The sequence below is a fragment of the Homo sapiens genome, chromosome 12, assembly GCF_000001405.40.
Source record: "Homo sapiens chromosome 12, GRCh38.p14 Primary Assembly".
Lineage (NCBI taxonomy): Eukaryota > Metazoa > Chordata > Mammalia > Primates > Hominidae > Homo > Homo sapiens.
In genome coordinates, this window is record NC_000012.12 from 109738643 (window position 1) to 109762337 (window position 23695).

The 23695-nt window shown below is 48.2% G+C and overlaps 1 protein-coding gene and 1 long non-coding RNA gene across 7 annotated transcripts in view, besides 2 other annotated features; one reads left to right on the top strand and one right to left on the bottom strand.

Annotated features, from left to right (window-relative positions):
- FAM222A (family with sequence similarity 222 member A) overlaps positions 1–23695 on the top strand; it is a 56671-nt gene that overhangs the window by 24818 nt on the left and 8158 nt on the right. For 2 of the 5 annotated variants that reach the window (NM_032829.3, XM_017020055.2), the window contains exon 2: positions 5459–5586. The exons of 1 other annotated variant lie outside the window; for it this stretch is intronic. In NM_032829.3, coding sequence (NP_116218.2) covers positions 5505–5586 — 82 coding nt within the window. In that variant the 5' untranslated portion in view covers positions 5459–5504. Of the gene's footprint in view, positions 1–263; positions 3572–5458; positions 5587–23695 lie in introns of all 5 variants that reach the window. 2 more of the 5 variants (XM_047429748.1, XM_047429749.1) reach the window with 2 other exon arrangements.
- The window catches only part of FAM222A-AS1 (FAM222A antisense RNA 1), a 39279-nt gene that overhangs the window by 4434 nt on the left and 11150 nt on the right, over positions 1–23695 (bottom strand). The window contains exon 2 of one of the 2 annotated variants that reach the window (NR_026661.2): positions 3463–3523. The exons of the other annotated variant lie outside the window; for it this stretch is intronic. This is a non-coding gene — a long non-coding RNA (FAM222A antisense RNA 1). The remainder of the gene's footprint in view (positions 1–3462; positions 3524–23695) is intronic. 2 annotated transcript variants of the gene reach the window in all.
- Positions 718–1219: an enhancer, noted in NCBI's record as "H3K4me1 hESC enhancer chr12:110177165-110177666 (GRCh37/hg19 assembly coordinates)". NCBI's record gives its function as "activates a minimal SCP1, AML or CMV promoter by ChIP-STARR-seq in primed H9 embryonic stem cells {active_cell/tissue: H9 hESC(primed)}" and the evidence as "EXISTENCE:reporter gene assay evidence [ECO:0000049][PMID:30033119]".
- Positions 1220–1719: an enhancer, noted in NCBI's record as "H3K4me1 hESC enhancer chr12:110177667-110178166 (GRCh37/hg19 assembly coordinates)". NCBI's record gives its function as "activates a minimal SCP1, AML or CMV promoter by ChIP-STARR-seq in primed H9 embryonic stem cells {active_cell/tissue: H9 hESC(primed)}" and the evidence as "EXISTENCE:reporter gene assay evidence [ECO:0000049][PMID:30033119]".

Sequence of the window (23695 nt, forward strand, 5' to 3'; positions counted from 1 at the left end):
CTGCTGGGTTTTGCCAGCTTCCTATCTTGTCCCTGCTCGAGATTCTAAGTCCCTCAAAGACAATGGCTACGTCTAGAGCCCCTTTGTGTGCCCACAGTTCAGGGACTGCCCCACACCTTGTACACAGCTGGATTAAGTTTGGAAACCAAATGATCACATCCTCTTATGTCCAAGTTAGATGGCCCTCATACTATCAGCTGGTCCACTCCCCATAAAGGTTCATTTGGGAAACAGACTCAGAGAGGTGCTGTGACTTCCTCCAGGTCACCCAGCCAGTGAGAACCCCAGTGCCTGGCCCCTGCCTGGCAGGTACAACCCAGAGGCCTCTGGGGCCAGCTCTCTTCTCTGAACTAGTCCTGTTGGACACCAGGAAGGGCCTGGCATGACCTTCCCCTCCAGGTCACAGCTAGGCTTTGGCCTTGAATGGAGCCACAGAAGCCAGGTGGGTAGCTCTAGGGATTGGAGGTAGAGGAGGAGATGGGGGCTCAGAGGCGCAGCCCATGGCTTTCCCGGGGTCACAATCTCAGGGCCCTGCCGTGAAGCCAGGTGTGTCCTCCTCCTATTCTGCCTTGGGGTCAACCCAGCCTGGCAAGGGGCAGACTGCTGACCTGTGGACACGAGGGAAAGTTCCAGATGCCTGCCACATCAGGAAAATGCTGGAGGCAGAGAGAGGTCAGGAACATTCATTTTTATTGGGAGGTCAGTTCTGGCTAGATGTTCCTTTCTGGCAGGACACTTTGAGTCATTTCCGTCCTCCCAGTACATGGCACAGGGCTGGCCCTCAAAAGATGCTTGGGAAGTGTTTGCTGCCTAAATGAATGAATGGGTGGGTAAGAAGCAAGGCCTGGGCTTTACTCATCTCAGTGTTGTTCTGCCCAATGCTGGCCTCCTGATTTGCGCTCCTTGAATGTTTATGGGATGAATAAGTGGCCTCTGGGAGCCCTTCCCCTCCTCTCACCCCTTCCTTCTGTGATCCCAGCCCCTCCCACAGTAGAATCAAAATGGATTTGGGCCCTGGGGAGAAGCAGACCCTTGCTTCCATCCCTCCCTGCCCAGTTGACTGGGAGCTGAGGGCTGACGGGCCCCCAACCACGATGGAGCTGCTGTACAGTGTGGGGCTGAGGGACTGACTGGCATTGGCATCCTTGGGCTCTGCTATCTAAAAGCTATGTGACCTTGCACAGATGGCCTTCCCTCTTTGTGGCCATTTCCTAAGCTGTGAAATGGAGCCACAGAGGCCACGAGGAGGAGGCGCATGGGCTTGGTACAGAGGGCAGTCAATACATGCTCACCACCGTTAAGAGCCCAAATTGCATGTTGCTCTTTCAGAGCTTCCCCTCCCACTGGCCCGTGGGCTCCCTGACGCCCCCTGCAGCCAGACAGGCGAGGGCGAGATGACAAAAGGCAAGCAGGGCCCAAGCCCCCAAATCCCTGTTCTTTTCATAAAAACAGAGACAGCCTCCTCCCATTCATTGTTCTGCTAAGGCGAGCATCACAGACTCAATTCCTCCTCGGACCTGAAAAGTTCCTTCCTTCCTTTCCCCTCCCCTGTCACATTTCCTTTATCTAAATCCTCAGCTATGAAAGGACACATCGACAGCTGGGGGCGTTATCTGGTGGAGGGGACCTTTTCCTCGGGTGTCTCCGAGATAAGGCGTCTTATCAGCCCCCATGTCAGGGAAGGTGCCAAGCATTCTAATCATTGAGGCATGCGACGTTTTTCCCCTCCCTGCCCCCCCTTTTTTTATTAAAGTCACAAAAGACCTTGAGCTTATAAACAGTCTGATTTGCAGATAGGGTTTCAAAATGAACAGTGCTCCCTGGATGGTGCTTGGCCAGGGGGGTAATGAGTCCAGGCGGGGACTCTGAGAGGCTGGCCTCCTGCAGATGGGATGATGCCAGGCAGGGAGGGGGCAAGATGGGGTCACAGAAAGAACATGAGTGTTTTAGGCACATGCCCCAGTCCTGTCCCTGCCTTGCTGTGTGACCTTGTTTGGGACGCTTGGCTTCTCTGGGCCTAGATCACTTTATCTGACAATAACCAATTCATTGATTCGGCCATTCATTCAACACCTATCTAGTAAATGATTACTCTTGCCAGGCACTGGGGAGAGACAGACAAATAAGACACGGTCCCTACCCCTAAGAAACACAGTCCAGCGGAGGGAGAGAGATGTGAAAATTGGCAATTACACCTTGGTGTGATTAGAGCAGAGATGGTGGATATCTAGAGGAAGGGAAGGGTGAGCCAGGGTCTGAAGACAGATCTGAGTTCGAACGGATCAGGGTCACGGTGCCGTAGGCAGGAGAACCAGCAGGGGCAGAGGTCTGGAGGTGTGAGGCAGCCTGGCTGGAAGGAGGGCCAGGGGGAGCCAAGAGGGAGATGAGGTGTGGTGGGCAAAGAGGGCTGGGCTCCACGCCGGGGCCAGAGAGGTTTTAAGGCCAAGGAGGGGGATTTGACCGTCTTGGTTGCAGATGATGGGGATGATGCAGGAGTTGGAGGTGGTGGTCCCCTCCCCACTTCCCTCCTAGGACACCCCACCACCCTGCCATGTGCCCCCAGTGGCAGGACACAGGGTTCCTGGGAGAATGGGCAGTGAGTTGGGAGAACTGGGGTTGCAGAGAGAAAAAAGTCCCTCCTCTTTAAGTGAAGAGCATCTCTCAGGCTGCCTGTAGCCCTCCAGAAGCAAGGAATGGGAGGATGTAGGCAGCTGCCCTGGCAAAGCTGAGCCAAAGCTGAGGCCTACACTTGGACACCATCACACCCTGAAAACCCCTCCCAGCTCCCAGAACTGCCTGGCATCCACCATAAGAGCACGCTGACAACTAGAGCCCTGCTGGGAAGGGAGCTGATGGGGTCCCAGGAGGCTCCAGAATAGGCGACCTGCCCCTTCCCCAACAATTGCAGCCCCCAGCCCACCCTTTTTCAACTGCAAAGCATGTGGGATGTATGGCCCAAGGGACATTAGGGCACCTAGAGAAGGGCTGGACTTCTGGACCCCAGTAAAAGGCTGGAGATAGGGCCGGGCATGGCCAGGACTCTGGAAGAAAGTGACCTGGAGGTACCCACAGGGATCATGGAGCCACTGTTACAGGCCAGAGAGGGTCATTAACCCAGCCGGGGTCACACAGGGTGTGCTGGGAGGCAAGGAGGTTCCAGCCTTCCAGCCCAGGTTTCCACAGGGCACCAGCCTCTGACCTCCCTCCTTACTGGCCTGGGTGCAGCCAAGCTCAGTGGTGAGGGGGTAAGTGCACCCAGCCACTCCCTGCCTGGCAGGCCACTGCTCCCTGTGGCTTGGGTTTCCCATTTGTGGAGGGAGAGGTCTTGGACTGGCTTTCTCCGGATCTCCCTCCTTTCCCCCAACCCCTATGTCAGAGCGGCTAGAGATGGACTCTGCCCTGGAGCAGGGGCCACAGAAAGAGGCTGGGGCAGGGTGAGGGAGGTTGCCACAGGCCTCTTACCTTCCAGATTGCACATGATTGTGAGTCTCCATAGACCATCCGACTGTGCGTAAGAGGGTGCCTGTAAGTGCAGAGGAACATGCCATGCAGCAAACACATATGTACATAGGTGAGTGTGTACCAGGGTGTGTGTGCACACCCAGCCCTCCCTGTGCACATGCACGGCGTGTCCTCCAGGGCTGGTGTCCAAGGCTGTGGTGATGGCAGGCCCGAGTCAGGCCTGCTCCCGCCACCTGCTCACATTCCAAGTCCCCGAGGAGAGGAGCAGCACTGCCTTCCTGCAGTCAAGGACTTTCATCCCTGCAATAAGCCCCACTTCATTCCCTTTTTAAACTGTATAATTTCTGCCTGATTGTAATGGCCTATTTTAAAATTACCAGAAATCAAAGCCGGGAAGTGGATACTGCAGCTTTTATTGCGTCTCTGTGTTAAGGCTGGCGATTGGGGAGGGGGCGGTGAGAATCACCTCCCCTCCCCTCCATCCTCCACTCTCTCTCTCTCTCGCTCTTTTTTTTTTTTTCTTGAGACAGTAATAGGAGAAAATTGGTTTTGAAACTGAATAAAAGTCCCTTTCAGAGGAAATCATTTCTTTCAGGGTACCTTTGCTGAAAGTAAAATAGGGCATAATGAAAGGTGGTTACGCGATTGTCTTTCATTTACCGAGAGGCCAGGACAGACGGGAGGCTGCAACCGTCTCCGGGAAATACAAGATTGGAATAATTGCGCCGTAACAAGGAGCTTGTTGTGAAATTAGTATCTTAAGAAAGTAGTGAAAAAAGGCTTTTCCTCATGAATACTTCATTATTAGAAGAAAGCGGCAGAATTTAGGACTCCAGACACCTGTTTAGTATTAAATAACTTCCCTTTCTTCCCCTTCAACACCCCCTCTGCTTTCTTCTTCTTTTTTAAAACCAACATGAAGATTGAGGTGATCCAGCTTGGCTGCTCAGGACTGTGGGAGGTCAGGAAGTGGTGGGGACAGGGTGCCCGGGAAGATGGACATCAGGGGTGTCCGGGGTTGAGCTCACCCTGAGACCTGCCTTCTCCTTAGCAAGAAGGGAGGAAGGGACCTCTAGGTAAGCTCCCACCGCCACCCTCCCATTGGGGCCTCACAGGCAGGCCCACTCTGACCCTGCCAGTCAGGGGCTTTGGGCTCTCAGGAATGTGCCTGGGCCTCCTGAAACGTTCTCTGCAGGAGAGTGGGTTTGGGGAAGCTGAAGGCAAGTGTCTGTGTGAATGTCAGGCTCTGGCCGTTGGGGAAGGTACCACACGGGCCTGTGTGCAGCCACATCTGAGCTGCTGCCCTGCGGGGCACAGATCTCTGCCCTTCCCATTCAGGGTAAGGAGCTCAGGCAGCGACAGGGATCTCGGGTCAGGGCAGCCTTGATGGCCCATTGGGGCTGGGCTCAGGGTGCAGCATGGATCAAGGTTCAAGAGCCCCTTGTTCTCTCAGGAAAGCCATCCTGACATCTCCCCTCCAGGGGGGCTATGAGGATGCCCTGGGCGGGAGACAGACCAGTACTTCAGTAACCTGGGACACCCATGTACCCACTGGCATTTCCCGAGCACCCCTCTGTGTAGATGCCCAAGATGACCAAGTGGGGTCTTCAGGCTGACTTGCTTACAGGGGGCCACCACCGGCCGGAAGCACAGCCTGCTGCGGGGCACGGAGGGAGTGAGGATCTCACCCAGTTGGGGGCATCAGGGCAGGCCCCAGAGCAGATGACCCAGATGCCGAGCAGGGCCGGGGCATGTGTGATCCATCAGTCCAGCCCCCACTCAAGAGCCCTGGATTCTGTCCCTTCCCATGAGGCCACAGATGGGCCTCTTGATGCCTCAGGCCTTGGTCCCCTCATTGGTCGAATAAGGGAAATGGGTGTCTGCTTTGAGAGTCTCTGATGTTCTTCGGGGTTGCAGGGAGACTCCCGGGGGGAATGGTGGGAGGCGAACACGGAGCAGCCCCCAAGTGACAGAGCACCCCATCTTCCTCCTGCAGGGACCCAGTCGCAGAGCGCACCCCACTGGGGACCCCCAGCTCAGCCATGCTGGCCTGTCTGCAGAGGACCCAGAACGCCCCGGGCCAACACCTGGCCTGCCCGAGCAAGAGCCTGGAGCTGCGCAAGTGTGAGTAGGACGCCTCCCCAGCCTTTGCAGGGCAGGTCGTGGGCAGAGAACGCCATTCACCCCCCAGGATGTCCACCTACCATGGCCCTGTCGGAAAGTCTCTATGCTCTCTTAGGCCCCCAGGCCTTGGCCCCGGCTGTGCTGCCTTCCTGGTCTCCATCCCCAAAATGACACCCACTCCTTTGGCCAGCTCCTGTGGAGCAAGACTCTCAACTCTGGCTTGACCTCCTTCCCAGCAGCCTCTTCTGACCACCACCATCGCCATGCCCCAACCCCGCCTCTGCAACTTCACCACCATTATCTAGCCATGTGTGTCTCCCTTACCACCATTAAAGTAGGATGACGTGGAAGCAAAAAATAGACAGAATGGGGTCCCCGCTTGAGGCCCATGAGCTGTGTGGTCTTGGGTGTTTCCTTCCCTCTCTGGCCTTGCTTTTTCACTGGGACCTAGACCTGGTGACCAGGGGTCTGTTCTCACTATCTAGGACCAGGATCTGAAACGCTCTGATTTGGTTATTTTTAGCTATCATAATTTCTTTTTTAATGAAGTACTTAGAAACGGAGATTTGCATTAAAATATGGATTTCTACTATCTCTTGAAAAAAACAAAAACAGAGGCTCTGGTAACATAGGCCTGTGTGCCTGTATTGCAGCTATGGTTAGAGCTGAATGACTGCCTCTTTTAAAGGGATGTCTGTCTCCAGGTCACCGCGGTCCCCACCCCTCCCTATTGCTTCTGTGCTATAGCCCAGGATCCGTTGCCATTTAGCATGATGCTTACAATGTGAAAATATTTTTTTTCTTTTAAATATTTATCTTTAGACAAGGGAACATATTCATGTTATGCAACACTTGGAGGAAGGAAGGGGTATATAGACAAAAGCCTCCCTCTGGGCCAGCCACCCGCTTCCCTCGCAGAGGGGGTCCATGTCGTCAGCTTCCTGGGTGTCCTTCCAGATGTTTTATGTGCATCCCAGCAAATATGTATGGAGACGCATATTTTACACACTATCCTGCATCTCACTGTTTCCCTTTGTAATCTATTCTGTATGTCAGCTTCTAAAGAGCTTCCTCATTCTTTCGCCACATAGTTTTCTCTAGCAGGGGTGGCCCATAATTTATTTGGCCAGTCCTCTATTTAGACTGTAACTGACCTGTTGCTGTTACAAGCAGTGCAGTGGTAAACCCTGGATGTGTCACGAGGATGTGGATAAAACTGCAGGGTACATTTCTGGAAGTGGAAATACCGGGTCAAACGGATGTGTGTTTGGCATTTTGATAGCTGTGGTCTGATGGACATCTTTAGATGGTGTATCTGTGGATACCTCACATTGTGGTGTGAGAGAGTCTGTTCCCCACCCCTCACCATCACAGCATCATATCACACTTTTAGGTTTTGCTCACCTGGGCAGTGACAATAGGATCACAATGTGGGTTTGGTTTTGTTTTGTTTTGTTTAGGGATACAAGGTCTAGCTATGTTGCCCAGGCTAGTCTCAAACTCCTGGCCTCATGCCATCCTCCTGCCTCTGCTTCCTGATCAGCTGGGATTACAGGTGTGAGCCACTGCACCTGGCTACAGTGTAGTTTTAACTTAGTTTTATATGAATGAGGTTGAGTATCTTTTTGTGTCTGTGCCATTTGTTTTTCCTTTGACTAATCTACTTATCTCCTTGGCTCCTTTTTTTTTTTTAATTGGGTGGTGGTTTTTGTTCTTATTGATTTGTAGGAGCTATTTGTGTATGATGGAATCAGACCTCTGTCTGTGCTATGAATTGAAGACATTTTCCCCAAGTTGGTTTTTGTTTTTGATTCTGCCATGGAGGAATTTTGTTTGGAAAGTGAGACTTATCAGTATTTCCTTTTATGGCATTGGATTTTGTATCATACTTGGAAAGTCCTTCCTCAGGCTGAGATTATTATTTTTTAATTCCCCCAGGTTTCTTATAGATCTCTGATGGTTTTTAAGAAATGTATGAGACCGGGCACAGTGGCTCATGCCTGTAATCCTATCACTTTGGGAGGCCAATGCAGGTGGATCACGTGAGGTCAGGAGTTTGAGACCAGCCTGGCCAACATAGTGAAACCCCAACTCTACTAAAAATACAAAAATTATCCAGGCATGGTGGCACATGCCTGTAATCCCAGCTGCTCAGGAGGCTAAGGCAGGAGAATCGCTTGAACCCAGGAGGCAGAGGTTGCAGTAAGCCAAGATAGCGCCACTGCACTCCAGCCTGGGCAACAGAGTGAGACTTGGTCTCAAAAAAAACAAAAAAAAAAGTATGCTCTCTATATGACTTATAGTTTATTGGGTACAAAGTGTGAGGTGTGGATCTAAATACATTCAAGTATCAGTGCAGTGCTGTTTTAATTATTATGTTGTTTAAAAATTTTAGCCTTATTGAGATATAATTCATATACCATTCACCAATTTGGAGTGTACAATTCAATGATTTTTAGTATATTCATAGAATTATGCAGCCATTACCACAGTCAATTTTAGAACATTTTCATCACCTCAAGAAGAAAACCGACACCCATCAGCAGTCACCTCATCTCTCCTCACCAACCTCCTCCCCTTTCTCTACAATTTCCCTATTCTGGACTAGTGACTGGCTTCTTTCACTTAGAATAACATAAGTTCATCTGTGTTGCAGCATGTGTATATCCAGGTCGAGTAGCCCTTATCAGAAATGCTTGAGACCAAAGTGTTTTGAATTTTGGAAAATCTCATTATACCAGTTGCGCATCCCAAATCACAAAATCTGAAATGCTCCAATGAGCATTTCCTTTGAATGACATGTCAGCACTCAAAAAGTTACAGATTTGGGAATACTTTGGATTTTAGATTTGGGGTGCTCAATCTGTAATACTTTTTCTTTTTTTGTGACAGTCTCACTCTGTTTCCCAGGCTGGAGTGCAGTGGCACGATCTTGGCTCACTGAAGCCTCCGCCTCCCAGGTTCAAGTGATTCTCCTGCCTCAGCCTCCTGAATAGCTGGGATTATAGGCACGCGCTACCACACCTGGCTAATTTTTATATGTTTTAGTGGAGACGGGGTTTCACCGTGTTGGCCAGGCTGGCCTTGAACTCCTGACTTCAGGTGATTCACCCGCCTTAGCCTCCCAAAGTGGTAGGATTACAGTCATGAGCCACCGTGCCCAGCCCTATAGTACATTTTAGTATTTGGTAGAGGTTGTTGCTCCTTGTTCTCCCCCTCTACCCAAATTTCCTTGGCTCTTTTATTATTTTCTTGTCTGAACTATAGAATCAATTTATCTAGGTCAAAACAAAAATCCTATTTGTGCTTCTACCGGGATTGCATTACATTTACAGATGAATTTAGGAAGAAATGACACTTTTATGACACTGCCTTTCCCACCAAAACATGATACAGTTCTCTTTCATGTCTCTCGGGAATGTTTTAACATTTGCCTGGTTGAAATCTTCCACATTGTGTTGGTTATTTCTGGATAGTTTAGCTTTTTTAGCTAGCCTTTTCTTCCAGTGGAAGGTCACTTATATGAAGGCTGTTAACTTCTGCCACCTTACTGAATTATTTTATTGTTCTTAATGGTTTTTCAATTTAGGCGCTTGGGTTTTCCAGTTATACTATCATATGATTTACAAATGATAAATTTACCCCCTATTTTGTTTTATACCTTAATTTCTTTATTTTATTTAATAGTTGGCTACTATTTCTGGAACAATGAAACAATAATAGTGGCGATAATAGACATTCTTGCTTTGTAGCTTCTAGATTTCCCCATTAAGCAAATGCTGGCTTTGGGGCAGTTAGTTTATCAGGTTAAGTAAGTATCCATCTATTCCTGTTTTGTTGAGGATTTTAAAAATCAAGAATGGAAGTTGAACTTTGCCAAAAGACTTTTCAGTGTTTATGATCACATTTTTTCCCATCGGTGAGTTAATATGAATAATAGATTTCTTAATACTGAACTTATTGAACTGGGGTTTAATCCTTGCATTCCAGATTAAACCCCAGTTGGTCATGGTAAATATTTCTTTATAATATACTGCTGGATTGAATTTGTTATTTAGGATTTTTGCCTCAGTCTCGTCAAAGAGATTGTTCTTTGGTTTTCTTTCTTTTTTTTTTTTTTTTTTTTGGAACAATTTTGGTTGGGTTTTGCTATGTTACACTGACATCATGAAGAAAATAGAGGCTTTCCTTCTTTCTCTTTGAACAGTTTAAATAGACATGGAATTATCTGTTCTTAAAAGTTTGGTTGATCCTCCATGAAACTGTTTGGGCTAGTGCAGTTATTTGGGGTGAGTGGGTAGCTCTTTGATAATGCTATTTCTTCTCTAATAATTAGTTTGATTGTTTGTTCTACTCTTTTTGAATGACTTCGGTAAATTATGTTTCTCTAGAAAAGTATCCATTTTATCCGGGTCTTCAGATTGATTTGCATTAGTTTGAACTAAACAATTTTTACAACTCTTAAGTGGTGAGTTCACCCTTATTTCTTATATTGTATATTTTGTGCTCTTTTTCCTGTTTTTCTTCATTAGGTTAGTTAGCTAATGATACTGTCTATCCCCTTTCCCCAAAGATTCATCTTTAGGATTTATTTATTAGTAATTATTCTTTTCTGGTTTCTAACTCATTAATTTGTGCTTTTATCTTTATTAAAACCTTCCTTCTGCTTTTAGTTTTTTTCCCTTAGAGAGTTACATTTTTACATTAATCTTTTTTTAAAAAAGGAGAAATTCAGGCTACAAAGTCTCTGAGCACTTCCGAGCTATATGTAGTATTTTCATTATTATTATTTTCTAGATATTTTAAATTTTTAACCTAAGACTCATTTGAGTCCCACGCATCCACACAAATAGTAGGTGTTTTGTGTGTGTGTTTGTTTGTTTGTTGTTTGTTTCGAGATGGAGTTTCGCTCTTGTTGCCCAGGCTGGAGTGCAATGGTGCAATCTCGGCTCACCATAACCTCCACCTCCTGGGTTCAAGTGATTCTTCTGCCTCAGCCTCCTGAGTAGCTGGGATTACAGGCATGCACCACCATGCCTGGCTAATTTTGTATTTTTAGTAGAGACGGGGTTTCTCCGTGTTAGTCAGGCTGGTCTCAAACTCCCGGCCTCAGGTGATTTGCCCACCTCAGCCTTCCAAAGTACTGGGATTATGGGTGTGAGCCACCACGCCCAGCCTTGTGTTTTACTTCTAGGGTGGTGGTAGTGTTTTTTATGATCAGAGAATCTTGTCTACTATTTCTACTTTTTAGGAGTTTTTTGAAGCTTTCTTTGTGATATAACCTATGCTAATTGTTGTGAGCTTTGTGGATTTTTTTATGGGGACTTAAAAAGGTGTTCACTTTGTTTTCAGGATTCAGTTTGGTGTATACCAATTTTATCTCCCATTAATTAGGCTATTAGGTTTTCTATATCCTTACTTACCTGTCATGAATAGAGAAAGGAACTAGACACCTACTGCTAACATGTTCCTGTCTATGTCTTCTTGTAGCACCTGTATCTTTGGCTTTTGAATGGTGATGCAATGTTATTTAATGCATAGATATTAATAATCTTAAATCTTCATAATGAATTATATCCTAAGAGATAAAATTGAATCCAGGCCCAAAAGTCCAGGATTCAACTTTATCTGTTAAAATGGTAATCGCTGCCTTTTAAATTCACATTTTTCTTAAAACCTTTGCCAATCCTTGTATTTCAACCTTTCTGAATTACTTTGTTTAGATGTGACTCATATACTATAGAGTTGGATTAAGCTTTGTGATCCAGTCTGAATGCCCTTTTTTTCTTTTAATAGGAGAGTTTAGCCCATTTACATTTATTGATATGACACATGTGGTCTTAGTTCAGTCATTTGTGCTTTATTTAAGTTGTCCTAAAAAGTCTTTCACTGTGTGATTTGTGTTCTCTGCTTTGTTTTGTGTACCTACTAATAATAAGGAAGGTTGGTGGCCTTGTTCTAATGGTATAACTATTCCTTAATTCTCTTAGAATAGTATCTGTTATTTTCCCTAAGAGGAATAAAATGATGAAATTGGTAGATTTTTTCTCTCCACAACATTTTCTTAGAGTTCACTTCATATTTTCAAAACTCTATTGTCTAACATCAATTTTAATGATATGTTTTGATTCCAGCTATTAAAATTGACGATATCAGGCTTGGCACAGTGGCTCACGCCTGCAGTCCCAGCACTTTGGGAGGCCAAGGTGGGAGGATCACTTGAAGCCAGGAGTTTGACATAAAAACTAGGATATCAGTCTACTTATAATCTTGTCCCCTTCTTTCTTCCTTCCTTTCTCATTTGTTATTAGCGATGCTATTAGTGTATTCTCAGGGCTTATAATATAGCATCTGGTATGTCACCACAATCCCCACATTTGTTTCTTTAATAACAATAGTGCTCACTACCAAATCTTTTGCCTTGGTTCACCCATTGTCTGAAGTTGGTCCTCTAGTATATTCCTTAAGAAGGCCTCATGTGAACAATACTCCTGGAGTTTCTGCACATTCAGAACGGTCTCTCTATTGCCTTTCTACTTGAGTGGGTTTAAAAAAAAAAAAAGTTCCTGGTTCACGTTGTTTGCTTGAGGATTTTGTAGGTTTTGTTCTACTGTCTTCTAATATTGCATGTTGCCATGGAGAAGCTGAGGACTGATTTTTTTCCCCCATCTATTTGATTTCGATCTTTCCATATCTTTCATGTCCAGTTACTTGACAAGGATGTGTCTTGGAGTTGACCATAGAGAGTCTGTTTTCCCTGGAACACAGTATTGTGCCCTTTCAGTTTGCAGATCCGAGGCTTGTATTTTAGTTTCCTTCCTTGGGGACTCCAGTTAAGCACATATTGGCTATCTTTCACCTGTCTTCCCTATGTACCTTTTTCTGATTAGACCTTTCTGACTCATTTTATGTTGCTCACTTTTTTTCCCTATGTTTTCTGCACCTCTTTTTTTTTCTCCTGTGCTCATTCTATACTTGGACAGTATGATTTTTTTTTCTTCTGCTCTTGTATATCTTCTTTGTGTTTTTGCTTTATAGAAAGAACTGCTTACTAAATTTTTTCCTTCTTGATGAAATACTTGTCTATGATCTTCATCTCTTCTGTGACTATATCCTTCTGATGGGAGGTGTTTTTGGCCAACCATTAATTTACTTATGCTTTGCCTTGCTTTCATTTTTTAGTATATTTTTTATTAGGTCCTATGCTGGTTCAATTTAGATTATTTTTATTAGGTCCTATGCTGGTTCAATTTAGATTACTAGGAGGAAATGAGTTTTTCCCAGTCCATTTGCGGGAGCTTCAGGTTGGGGAAAAGCCAGGGCCATGTCCTGAGCTAACTAAAAATTTCCATACAACCCAGAGTTTCCTATGTGTGCTTATTTATCCTCTTTTTCCTCAGACCCAGGTTCCTGAAAATATGGTTTGTAGCCCCACCTATTTTTCTCTTCTAAACCAAGTAGGTCTAAGGGAAGAACCTGTCACCAGCTGACAAACCCCTCCTTTCACTGCTTCAAATAAGGGGTTTAGATTTTGTACTCAGGGCGTGCCCCTCACTTTTGGAAAGTGTTTGCTGCTGACTTTGAAATCTGTAGGTGTGGCCCTTTTTTCTGCTTCTTAGCCCTACTTGATCTCTGCTACTATTGGAAGCCTGTTCTTTTTTGTTTAGGGGTTTAGCAGCTACACTGTATTACACTGCAGGAATAAAAAAAATGGTAACATTTAACCAGCCCTTCCCTGATGGACATTTAGGTTGTTTCTAGTCTCTCACTATTCTAAACATTCCTGTAATGAACATCTTTGTACATGTGCATCTGTGCAAAAAAAAATTCCAGGCTGGACTGTCTCAAAGGGTCTGTGCCTTTTAACCTTTGATTGCTACTGTCCCCCTGTCAAGACTCCCTGCCCTCTGCTACCAGATGGCTAGAGGAGGGGCTGGGCCTGATGACCTGGGCTGGCCCTTCCTTCCTGCTCCAAAGCCAGAACAGGAGAGTGTGGATGGTCACCAAGGACATCCTGCTTCCCCCGCCCATTCAGATCCTTTGACATCTCTTCACTTATTGGAAAAGACAGTGACTCTGCCTGTAATTGAAGAGCACAGGAAACAGGAAGGCAGGAAGAGAGATAAGCAGCTAATTGAATTGGGTGCCCTGCTGCTGCCAATCAGTGCCTGGACGCTAAGTCAAGGAGGCTCCTGCCCTTTCCTCCCAGGCATGGTTCTTGGGTGATATGGCCCAGATCTCTCCTCTTGTCCCTGTTGCCCCTGGGCAGAACCAGGACAGGAAGGGCTTTGTGACCAGACCTGGGGCCATGCTGTGTTTTCAGCCAAGGGAGAAAGGTCTCGACCAGGCTTTGGACAACATGACCTTGGATGAGTGGTTCAGCCTTTCAAGGCTTCTGTTCTCCTCCCTCTGTAAAACAAGGGCTCAGATGAGGTGGACCTAAGAAGCCACCCAGCTCTGGCCCTCTGTGATGATAATGTCAAAAGCTTGGTTTAGGGGGACGAGGTGGTCCAGTCTGAGACCCCTGTCTCCCTTTTCCTGTAAAACAGGGATCAGAGTAGCTTGTGATGAGGTCTGGCTGTATGCTGAGAAATGGCCAGGGAACCAGAAAGAGCCACAGTTCACTTCTCTGGGATCCAAGGTCAGATGGGCCAGAGGAGGTGGGTTGCAATGAGCTGTGGGTCCAGGAGTTGGGGCGGCAGGCTGTCGTGGCCTGTCCTAGGTGACTGGGAAAAGTGACCTGCAGAAAAACAAAGGAACCTGCCTACCCCTGGGCCAGCAGCCTGTGGGTCTCAACTGCTCAGGGCCTTCCCCACTAATTAATAAATATTTGACTTTCCCATTATGGAGTTAATATGCAAACTTTGAGTCACACGCTGCTGAAAATACAGGCTGTGCAGAAGCCCCAGAGAGGCACCGTGGGGGCCTGTGGCGAGGTGGGGTTACTCAGGGACTGGGCCTCGTCCCTGTCCAAGGGTCCAAGGAGGGTGGAGCCAAGGCAGCTGTCCCAGGAGGCAGACATGAGCACCCACCCTCCTCAGCTGGACCTTGGGTAAGTGACGTGGCCTCTCTGTGCCCCACACTGCTCTTCTGTGGCTGAGGGTAGTGTGCCCACCCTGCCCCATCCCCATGAACCCCTAGGGCACAGGCTTTGGGACTGTCTAAGGGTCAAATACAGAGAGTGCCCTGATGGGGGTGTGTATGTATGGTCTTGGACAAGTTAGTGACTGTGCCTTGGTTTCCTCTGCTGTGACATGGAGACAGGAATGGAAGGAGAGGACCCCGCAGGGCCTAGCAGCTGACCCAGATACCTCACCTGCCCCCCCATCCCGGGGGGGGGAGCCTCTCCCACAATATCCATACCCACAAGGGGGCAAGAAACTCCACCACCCATATTGCTCGTGATAGATGAGAAGCTTTGAAGGGCTTGTCGTCCAAGAGGATCAGGGAGCAGCTCTTCCCCAATTCCCAGCCTCACCCCACCCCCGCCCTACAGACCCTCAGGACGCCGACAGGCTGGAGCTACTGCCTAAGTGAACCGCTGCCCACCAGCATTCCTGCAGGTGCCACTGCTTCCACTGATGCTAATAAAAGATGGAAGAAACAAAGCAATTTAAAATTCCAATGAAATTAAAAATAAATCTAGGGCCGCACAGCAGATTCAGTTACGTAGCTATTGCTGAGTGCAGCCTGAGGGATGGAAGGAAGGTCTGGGGCCACCCCTGCCGCAGGTACCAAGCCTGCAAGAGGACAGAGGCTCAGAGATGAAGGGCCAGGAGCAGGCCAGATAGATCTCAACCCTGTTTAGGATTTAACAACTGAAAATAAGCTCCAAGCCAACTAGGAAGGAAGTCAGCCTCTTTCATTTACCAGAGTCCAACCATGATCGACTACAAACAAACTTGAGGCTTGATAAAATCAGAGGGAGACAAAGATCCGAATCACTGCTTGTCCACACACTGCACAGAGGCTGTGGCCAGCACAGCTAAGCTAGGACAAGTAAATTAAAAGGTAGTATAAGGATTAGAAAGGAGTAAAATTATCTGCATAGAAAAACCCAAGAGCCCAGTTGCAGTAGTCCCAGCTACTCAGGAGGAGTCCAAGAGATCAGCCTGGCCAACATATTGAGACCCTGTCTCTAAAAAAAGAAAAAAAAAAGAAAACCCAAGAGAATAAGACTTTAGCAACGTAAGATCAACATACAAATGCAACCGTACTCCTTGACAGCAGAGGTTGGCAAACATTTTCTGCAAAGAGCAGATATTTTCAGCTTTGTGAGCCATACAGTTTCTTTTGTAATTTATTAACACTCCAGTTCTTGCAGGAATACAGCCACAGACATACATAAATGAATGGGTGTAGCTGTGTTCCAATAAGACTTTATTTACAAAAGCAGCCAGCAGGCCAGATTTGGCCCACAGGCAGTAGTTTGGGACTCTTTTTTTTTTTTTTTCTTTGAAACAGGGTCTTGCTCTGTTACCCTGACTGGTGGGCAGTGGCATGGTCATGGCTCGCTACAGCCTCGACCTCCTGGGCTTCAGTGATACTCCCACCTCAGCCTCCTGAATAGCTGGGACTACAAGCTCATGCCACCATGCTCAGATAATTTTTTAATTAATTTTTAGTAGGGATGGGGTCTCACTATGTTACCCAGGCTGGTCTTGAACTCTTGCCTCAAGTGATCCTCCTGCCTCAGCCTCCCAAAGCACTGGGATTACAGGCATGAGCCACTGCGTCTAGCCTGTCCATTTTTAAATTCAGCAATTTGTCTTTTTATTAAGTTGTAAAACTTCTTCATATATTCTAGATACAAGTCCCATATCAGGTGCATGATCTGCAAATATTTTCTCCCATTCTGGAGTTGTCTTCACTTTCTTTGTGGTATCCTTTGAAGCACAAAAGTTTTGAATTTTGGTGATGTCACAATGTCTTTGGTCACTTGTATTTTTGGTGTTTTTGTCTAAGAAGGCTTTGCATAACCCAAGGTCATGAAGATATACACTCCTGTGTTTTAAGAGTTTTCTGATTTTAGCTCTTCCATTTAGGTCTGTAATTCTTCTTTTTTTTTTTTTTTTTTTTTTTTTTTTTTTTTTTTTTTTTTGAGACAGAGTTTCACTCTTGTTACCCAGGCTGGAGTGTAATGGCGCAATCTCGGCTCACCGCAATCTCGGCTCACCGCAACCTCTGCCTCCCGAGTTCAAGTGATTCTCCTGCCTCAGCCTCCCGAGTAGCTGGGATTGCAGGCATGCGCCACCATGGCCAGCTAATTTTGTATTTTTAGTACAGACACGGTTTCTCTATGTTGGTCAGGCTGGTCTCAAACCCACGACCTCCGGTGATCAGCCCGCCTCGGCCTCCCAAAGTGCTGGGATTACAGGCATGAGCCACCGCACCCAGCCTGTAATTCATTTTGAGTTAAGTTTTGTGTACATCATGAGGAAAGGATCCGACTTCATTCTTTTGCATATCGATACCTAGCTGTCCCAACATTTGTTGAAGAGACCAATCTTTCTCCTATTGAGTTGTTTTGGTTCCCTTGTGAAAATCAATTGACCATAAATGTAAGGGTTTATTTCTGGATTTTCTATTCCATTGACCTGCATGTCCATCTTTATGCCAGTACCACATTGTCTTGATTCCTGCAGCTTTGTATTAAGTTTTGAAATCAGAAAGTGTAAATCCTCCAACTTTGTCCTCTTCCTTCAAGACTGTTTTGGCTATTCTGAGTCCCATGAAGTTTAGTCTCAGCTTGTCAAGTTCTGCAAAGAAGCCAGCTGAGGTTTTGATAGAGATTTGCATTGGATTTATAGATCAACTTAGGGAATATTGCCATCTTATTATTGTCTTCCAATCCATGAATACAGGGTGTCTTTCCATTTATTTTTCTTTCAACAATGTTTTGTAGTTTACAGATTTTGAGTTTTGCTCTTTTGTTAAATTTATTCCTCAGTCGTCTTTTTGATGCTGTTGTAATTGGAATTTTCTTAATTTTTGGACTCATTGTGAATAAATAGAGTTGATTTTTGTATATTGATCTTGTATCCTGCAACCTTGCTGAACTTCTTTATTCTAATAGTTTTTTAGTGAATTTCTCAGGATATCCTGTATACAAGATAATGTCATCTGTGACTAGAGATGGTTTTACTTCTTTCTAATATGAATGCTTTTTTTTTTTTTTTTTGTCTAATTGCTCTGGCTAAAACTTTTAGTACAATATTGAATAGGAGTGGAAAGATACTTTGTCTTATTCCTGATTGTAGAGGGAAAGCATTGAGTCTTTTACCGTGAAGTATGATGTTAACTATGTAGTTTTCATAGTTTTTTGAGTGTTTTTATCATGAGGGATATTGATTTGGCAAATGCTCTGTGTCTATTGGGATGAAGATGTGGTAGTTGTCCTTCTGTCAATATGGTATTAACATTAATTGATTTTTGGATGTTGAACCAACCTTGCATTCCTGGGATAAGTCCCACTTGGTCATGGTATATAGTCCTTTTTCTAAGTGGCTGGATTTAGTTTGCTAGTATTTTGTTGGTTTTTGCATCTATATTCATAATGGCTATATGGTCCATAGTTTTTTTGTGTGTAATATCTTTGTCTGGTTTTAGAATTAGGGTAATACTGGCCTTACAGAATTCATCTGGAAGTGTTCTCTCTTTTTTTTATGGAAGAGGTTGTGAATAATTAATTCTTATTTAAATGCTTGGTAGAATTCACCTATGAGGCCATCTAGGTCTGGGCTTTTCATTGTTGGTAGTGTTTTGATTGCTAATTCAATCTCTTTACTTGTTATAGGTCTATTCAGATTTTCAATTTCTCAAGTTAGTCTTGGTAGTTGATGTCTTTCTAGGAATTTGTCCATTTCCTCTAAATTATGAAACTCTGACAAAAGAGGCAAATGGCCTTTATGGAGAAGATAAGTTTATTCAGTGGTATTTTTTAAAGACCTAAATAAACTTAGAAATATGTCATGCATATAGACAGAGATTCAAATGGAAGAAATTCAGTCCCTACATCTTGAGCATTTGTGTGTGTGTAACTCAAAAGCTGACTTAATTGATAAAAGCAAAGGGACCAAAAATGGCCAAGGCACTTTTGAAAAAGAAGTATCAGGGTTGGGGAAGGGGCTTGTCCTGTTACAGCTTCAAGTTGAGACAGTGGGATCAGCACAAGGACCAGGAGACAAAGCAGGGGTTGCAGATCACTGGGGAGACATATGCCATGCTGGGGCAAGTGGTTATCCACAGGGAATAAGTGACAGAGGAGGCCTACCTCACACCATACCCAAAAAGGAATCCCAGGCAGACTAGAAATCTAACTGTGGAAAGCAAAACCATATCATTCTTCGAAGAAAATGATGGAGAATATAATCCCCAGGATAGAAAGGATTTCCAAAATGAGAGAAAAAAAAGACAAGCCACAAATTGAGAGTGGGTGTCTGCAACACTTATAATGGACCAGTGTCCAGAATAGAGAGCCACGGATGTGGCTGCAGAAAGACAATGATGGGAACAGGCAGGGAGCCAGGGGTGGGGAGGGGGCGGGACGGGTAGGTGAGTCAGAACAACATGTATATGGCTGGAGACAGACAGGAGTAGGTCTATGTCTGGAGAAGGCGAGAGATGAGGCCGGGCTGAAGGCAAAAGGACAGGCAGCAACATCAGGACAAGACAGCAAACACAGACAAATCTGGGGCCCTGGGTGCAGGCAGAGAGTAAGGTGTGGGCTCCCAAAGACAGAGCCCAGCTAGGGAGTGGGCAAGGGAAACTGAGGCACATGGGAGCGTCAAGAAAGTCAGGCTGGAGAGGGATTAAAGTGTCCCCAGCCCCACCAGCAGGGCCACCTTGGCCGCTCCAGGGCTGTGGGGTGTGGAAGGTGCGTGTGGATAAATGTGTGCCCGGAGCACCTGACTGTCTTTGTATGTTGAGGGTGTCCCTGAATGTCTGGGCACACATGTGAGCATCTCAGCACACGTATGTAGCTTGCGTGTGTGCACATGTTAGAGAATGAGAGGCAGGGTCCTTTGTACAGGGCCCATTGTTCGCTGCTACCCTCCACTGCCAGTTCCAGCCCAGAAAGAGCTAAAAGGAAGGTGGCCAGCCTTTTCTGAGCACCTGTACCAGGCTGACTGACATGCATTCTGTCATTTCATCTCCATTCCCCTGCCCTCACGGGAAACAGACATCAGGAGAGCTGCAGTCACTTCCCTGAGGTTCCCTGGCTGGTCACTGGGATGTGTGGATTCACACCTGTGGCTGACCTCAGGGGCCCTCAGGCTACCACCCTAGTCATTCGGCTGGGGCAGGGTCCCTGGGACAGCCAGGAAGGTATGGAGCAGCCACTCCTGCCCCTCCCCACACCCCTCCCATAAAGGCTGGAGAACAGCTGTGTCTGCCCTAGCCCAGCCGCCGTCCCTGCCCCCACTCCTGGGCGACCTCATTAGGGATTCTGCCTCTGCCACCAGCTAATTAGTGTCACGTTAATTGAGCATTCAGGAGGCTGCCACCTCCAAGGGCAGAGTGTGGCAGCAAAGGGGAATGCAGATGTGGAGCTGCTCCCCCTGGCGAGCTGGGGCCAGGCCCTGTGCCAGGGACCCCTTCCATCCTAGAGAAGCCCTGGACACCCCTTGCTCCCCCATTTCAACACAGGTAATACCCTGAGCCCTAACAAAGGAGGCAGTAGACAAAGCGTGCAACGGCTTGAGAAAGAAACGACACTGGGTGAACACCTACTGTGTGCTTGCACACCTTTCACTCTCCCCTCTCCTATGGGAAGGCGAGAATTTGCTCCCTTCTACCGTCCAGAAAGCTGAAGTCCACCAAGGGAACCCCTTCTCCAGGGGTATGCCCAGTGAAGCAGTAGGAACCTAGGACCGCAGGGGGATCCAGGAGGTAGCTCTAGTGCCAGCAGAACCCACCTCCAAGTCTCCTGACTGCCACTCCCAGCTCCTTGGACAGGCGACTTGCCCTCTCCAAGCCTCAGCTGCTTATCTGTCAAATGGGGGCAGCCCCAGAATGCACCCCACAGGATGGTGAGGGCTGAAGAACACATGCCTCTCCCTGGACCCAGCCTGGCCCTGCCTGGCTCACTCTGCGGTAGGTGCCTGGGGTCCCATATCACAGGCCCTGTGGTGCAGAGTGTTGCAGTCCAAGCTCCCCGCTGCTCCATGGTCCCTCTGGCACATCCCCAACCCACTCCGCCTGCCCTGCCCCCTCCTCAGCTTCTGGAAGGCCCGCTCTTGTGTCTCCCTATAGCAACATTAAATCCCACTCAAAGGGCTGGTTTTAATTGGCTTAATATACTCGTTAATAACCGCATCTATTTAACACACCTGTAAAAGGCCCATAACATTAACTTAATGGCAGCGGCAGTTCGTCCAGCACTTCCAGCCCAGCCAGCCTTTTAAATTTCCCGACAAGTCTTTAATGGGGGCCGCAGCAGGCAGAGGCAGAGTGGGGGAAGGAGTGGCCCCAGTACACAGTGGGGAGCACCCTGGCTTCTGCACGTTTGAGCCCAGATGCTGCCTGGCGGCTGCCCCTGCAACCTCTCAAAGGCCTGGGAGCGGGATTCTTTGGCCTTGGAGCCGCCATCCATGGGACGCTTTCCAAGCACCTTCGGTGGTGGCAGCTGCAATTATTTAGATGTCAGGGTGGTGAGAAAAAACAGGATCTGCCCTAGAAGGTCTCCAAATCTAGCCCAGGAGAAAAGTAGACCGACAGCTACAGCATGGGGGTCCTACGAGGGCACGTCAGGGGCTGCCTGGCTGAGGGACACCTTGGCTGAGACCTGAGGGTCAGGAGAGCCAGTGGGCCAGGGGTATGTAGGCAACCCCTCTTACTGCATTTACCCAGCACACAACGCAAGCTCCTACTGTGTACCATGCACCAGTGGGCACCAGTGCATGGTGGAACGCTGGGTGGAGGCCATCCCTGCCTCATGGACAGCACCCCCACACACACATTTCACCACTTTGGATCAGGTGCTGTGACTCACAGATGAGGCCCTTTGCATAGGGGCGTGGGGCAGGGGAAACACATACAGACCCGGAGAGCAGTCTGTTCAGGTGGTCAGCACGGGGAGGCAGTGCTTCAGTTAGACCCTAAAGGACCAGTGAGGCTCCGGTTATGGAGGAAAGAGGGCACATCAGTGTGAGAGAATGGGCCCGAGCCACAGTACCAACGCTGCCCAGTGACTGAGAGCAGGAGCCAGGGGGATGGAGGACCTGGGCTCAAATCCTGGCTCACAAATCCTCTCTTGGCCACCAGTGGTCTCAAACTGGCAGCCTGTGGACCACATCCCGCCCACCTGGTGTGTGGTTGGCCCTGCTGGGTATTTGAACGCTGCTTAAATGTGAACATTCTCTGGTCAGGACACACCCTCCCTGCCCACCTCAGTCCCTGCCATCTGTCCTCTCTAGGCATTTGTTTGTGACCCCCGCTTGACACTCTACTCCTTGAACGTCTGACCTCTTCTGAAGCACGGGGCTGCCACAAGGACTGCGGAAGGGCAAGGCCATGAGGGTTTGGCACAGTGCCTGGCCTGGAGGGAACAGTCAACAGAGGGTGGCGTATGAGAGGAAGCTGGGGACGCCATGTGTGGTTCCAGGGGCCTGCGGGAAGGAGACCTGGGCCAGGTGGCCAGGGCCTTGAATGCCACCCTCAGCAGCTCAGACTCACGCAAGCAGGAGCTCAGTGGAGGGGTTACAGAAAGAGGCAGCTGGGAGCTTGGAGGCAGTGGAGGGGGCTCCGATGAAGTCATCAACCCCACAACCATGCCCCCACTGAGGGCAGGCACTGAGCTAAGCCGGCTCTTAACACCTCTCACAGAACCTCCCAGGTCAGCAGCAGCATTCACCCATTTCACACAAGGGAAAATGAAAGCTCAGAGAGGGACAGTGGTGTGCCTCAGGCCACACAGCCAGTGTGTGGCAGAGCTGGGACTTGAACCAGATCTGTGGCTCAGAGTCCACGAATTCCACCTGCAGCCCCACCCCCAGATGCTGTAAGGCTGCCCCCCCAGGCCTCTGTGCTCTTCCCAGGAGCAGAAGCTGCCTCACCAAGGTGGGTGGCGAGCCAGAAGGGTCCACGGGAGTACGAGGAGCTTTGATGCAGCTGCCAAGGGCACTACCCCAGGCTCCAGGCAGGACCCGAGGAGGACAGGGAGCTGTGCGCCCCTCCCCCCATCCTAAATCAATACTCAGTCACTGGCTGCTGGCAATTATAGAAAAGCACAGAGGAGTAAAATCCCCCTGCCATCCCATAACCCGGGCCCTCTTCCCCAGGCAGGCTGCTGTCAGCATTTGGGGCTTGTTCCTTCACACCTTGGTTCTATCTCCTTCCAGAGAGAAGGAGAGAGCCTGCGAGGGTGTAGTAAGTTACAGGCATGTGGGAGCCGCCTCTTTCCATGTGTCTCCCTGTCCATATCCCCCACATCTCCAGGCCTCTCGAACCTCATGTTTAGGGCCCAGCAAGTCCCATTGCTTCTGAGGGCCCCTGGGTGTGGGTACTCTGCCTGGAGCTGGCAGTTGGGCAGCTCCCAGGGCTTCCTTTGGCCCCTTTCCAGCCAGCAGCCTGGGGGGTCGTAGGAAGACCTGAGTCAGATCTCTCCTCTCGGCTCAGAACCTTCCAAAGCAGAGGAAACCCCCGGGTCCTGGCAGTGGCCCTGAAGCCTGCCGGTTTGCAGTGCACTCCCACCTCTCCAGCCTGTCTTCCCCACCCACCCTCACCCTGCACCAACTGCTTCCCCAGCTGTGCCAGGTCCCATGCATTCACCAACCCCCCAAGACTACCTTCCATCAACCATCCACATGGCTCCTTTGCCCACCTCCCTCCAATCTGTACTCCAAAGCCACATTATCAGAGGAGGCTTCTTTGCTGACCACCCTGTCCAAGCTAGGTGCCGCTGCATCTTGCCACTCATAGTCCCATGCCCTGCTGTTCTGGTTACTGTAGCTGTGTACTAACCCAAAACCAGCAGTGCCAAACAGCCAGTCATGCTCGGGAATAGGGGCCGGGCACAGTGGGGAGGGTGCAGCTGCCCTGTGATGTCCTGGTGATGGTAGGGGCCATGGAAATCTTCTGAAGACCTGCATGCTCACATGTTAGGCCT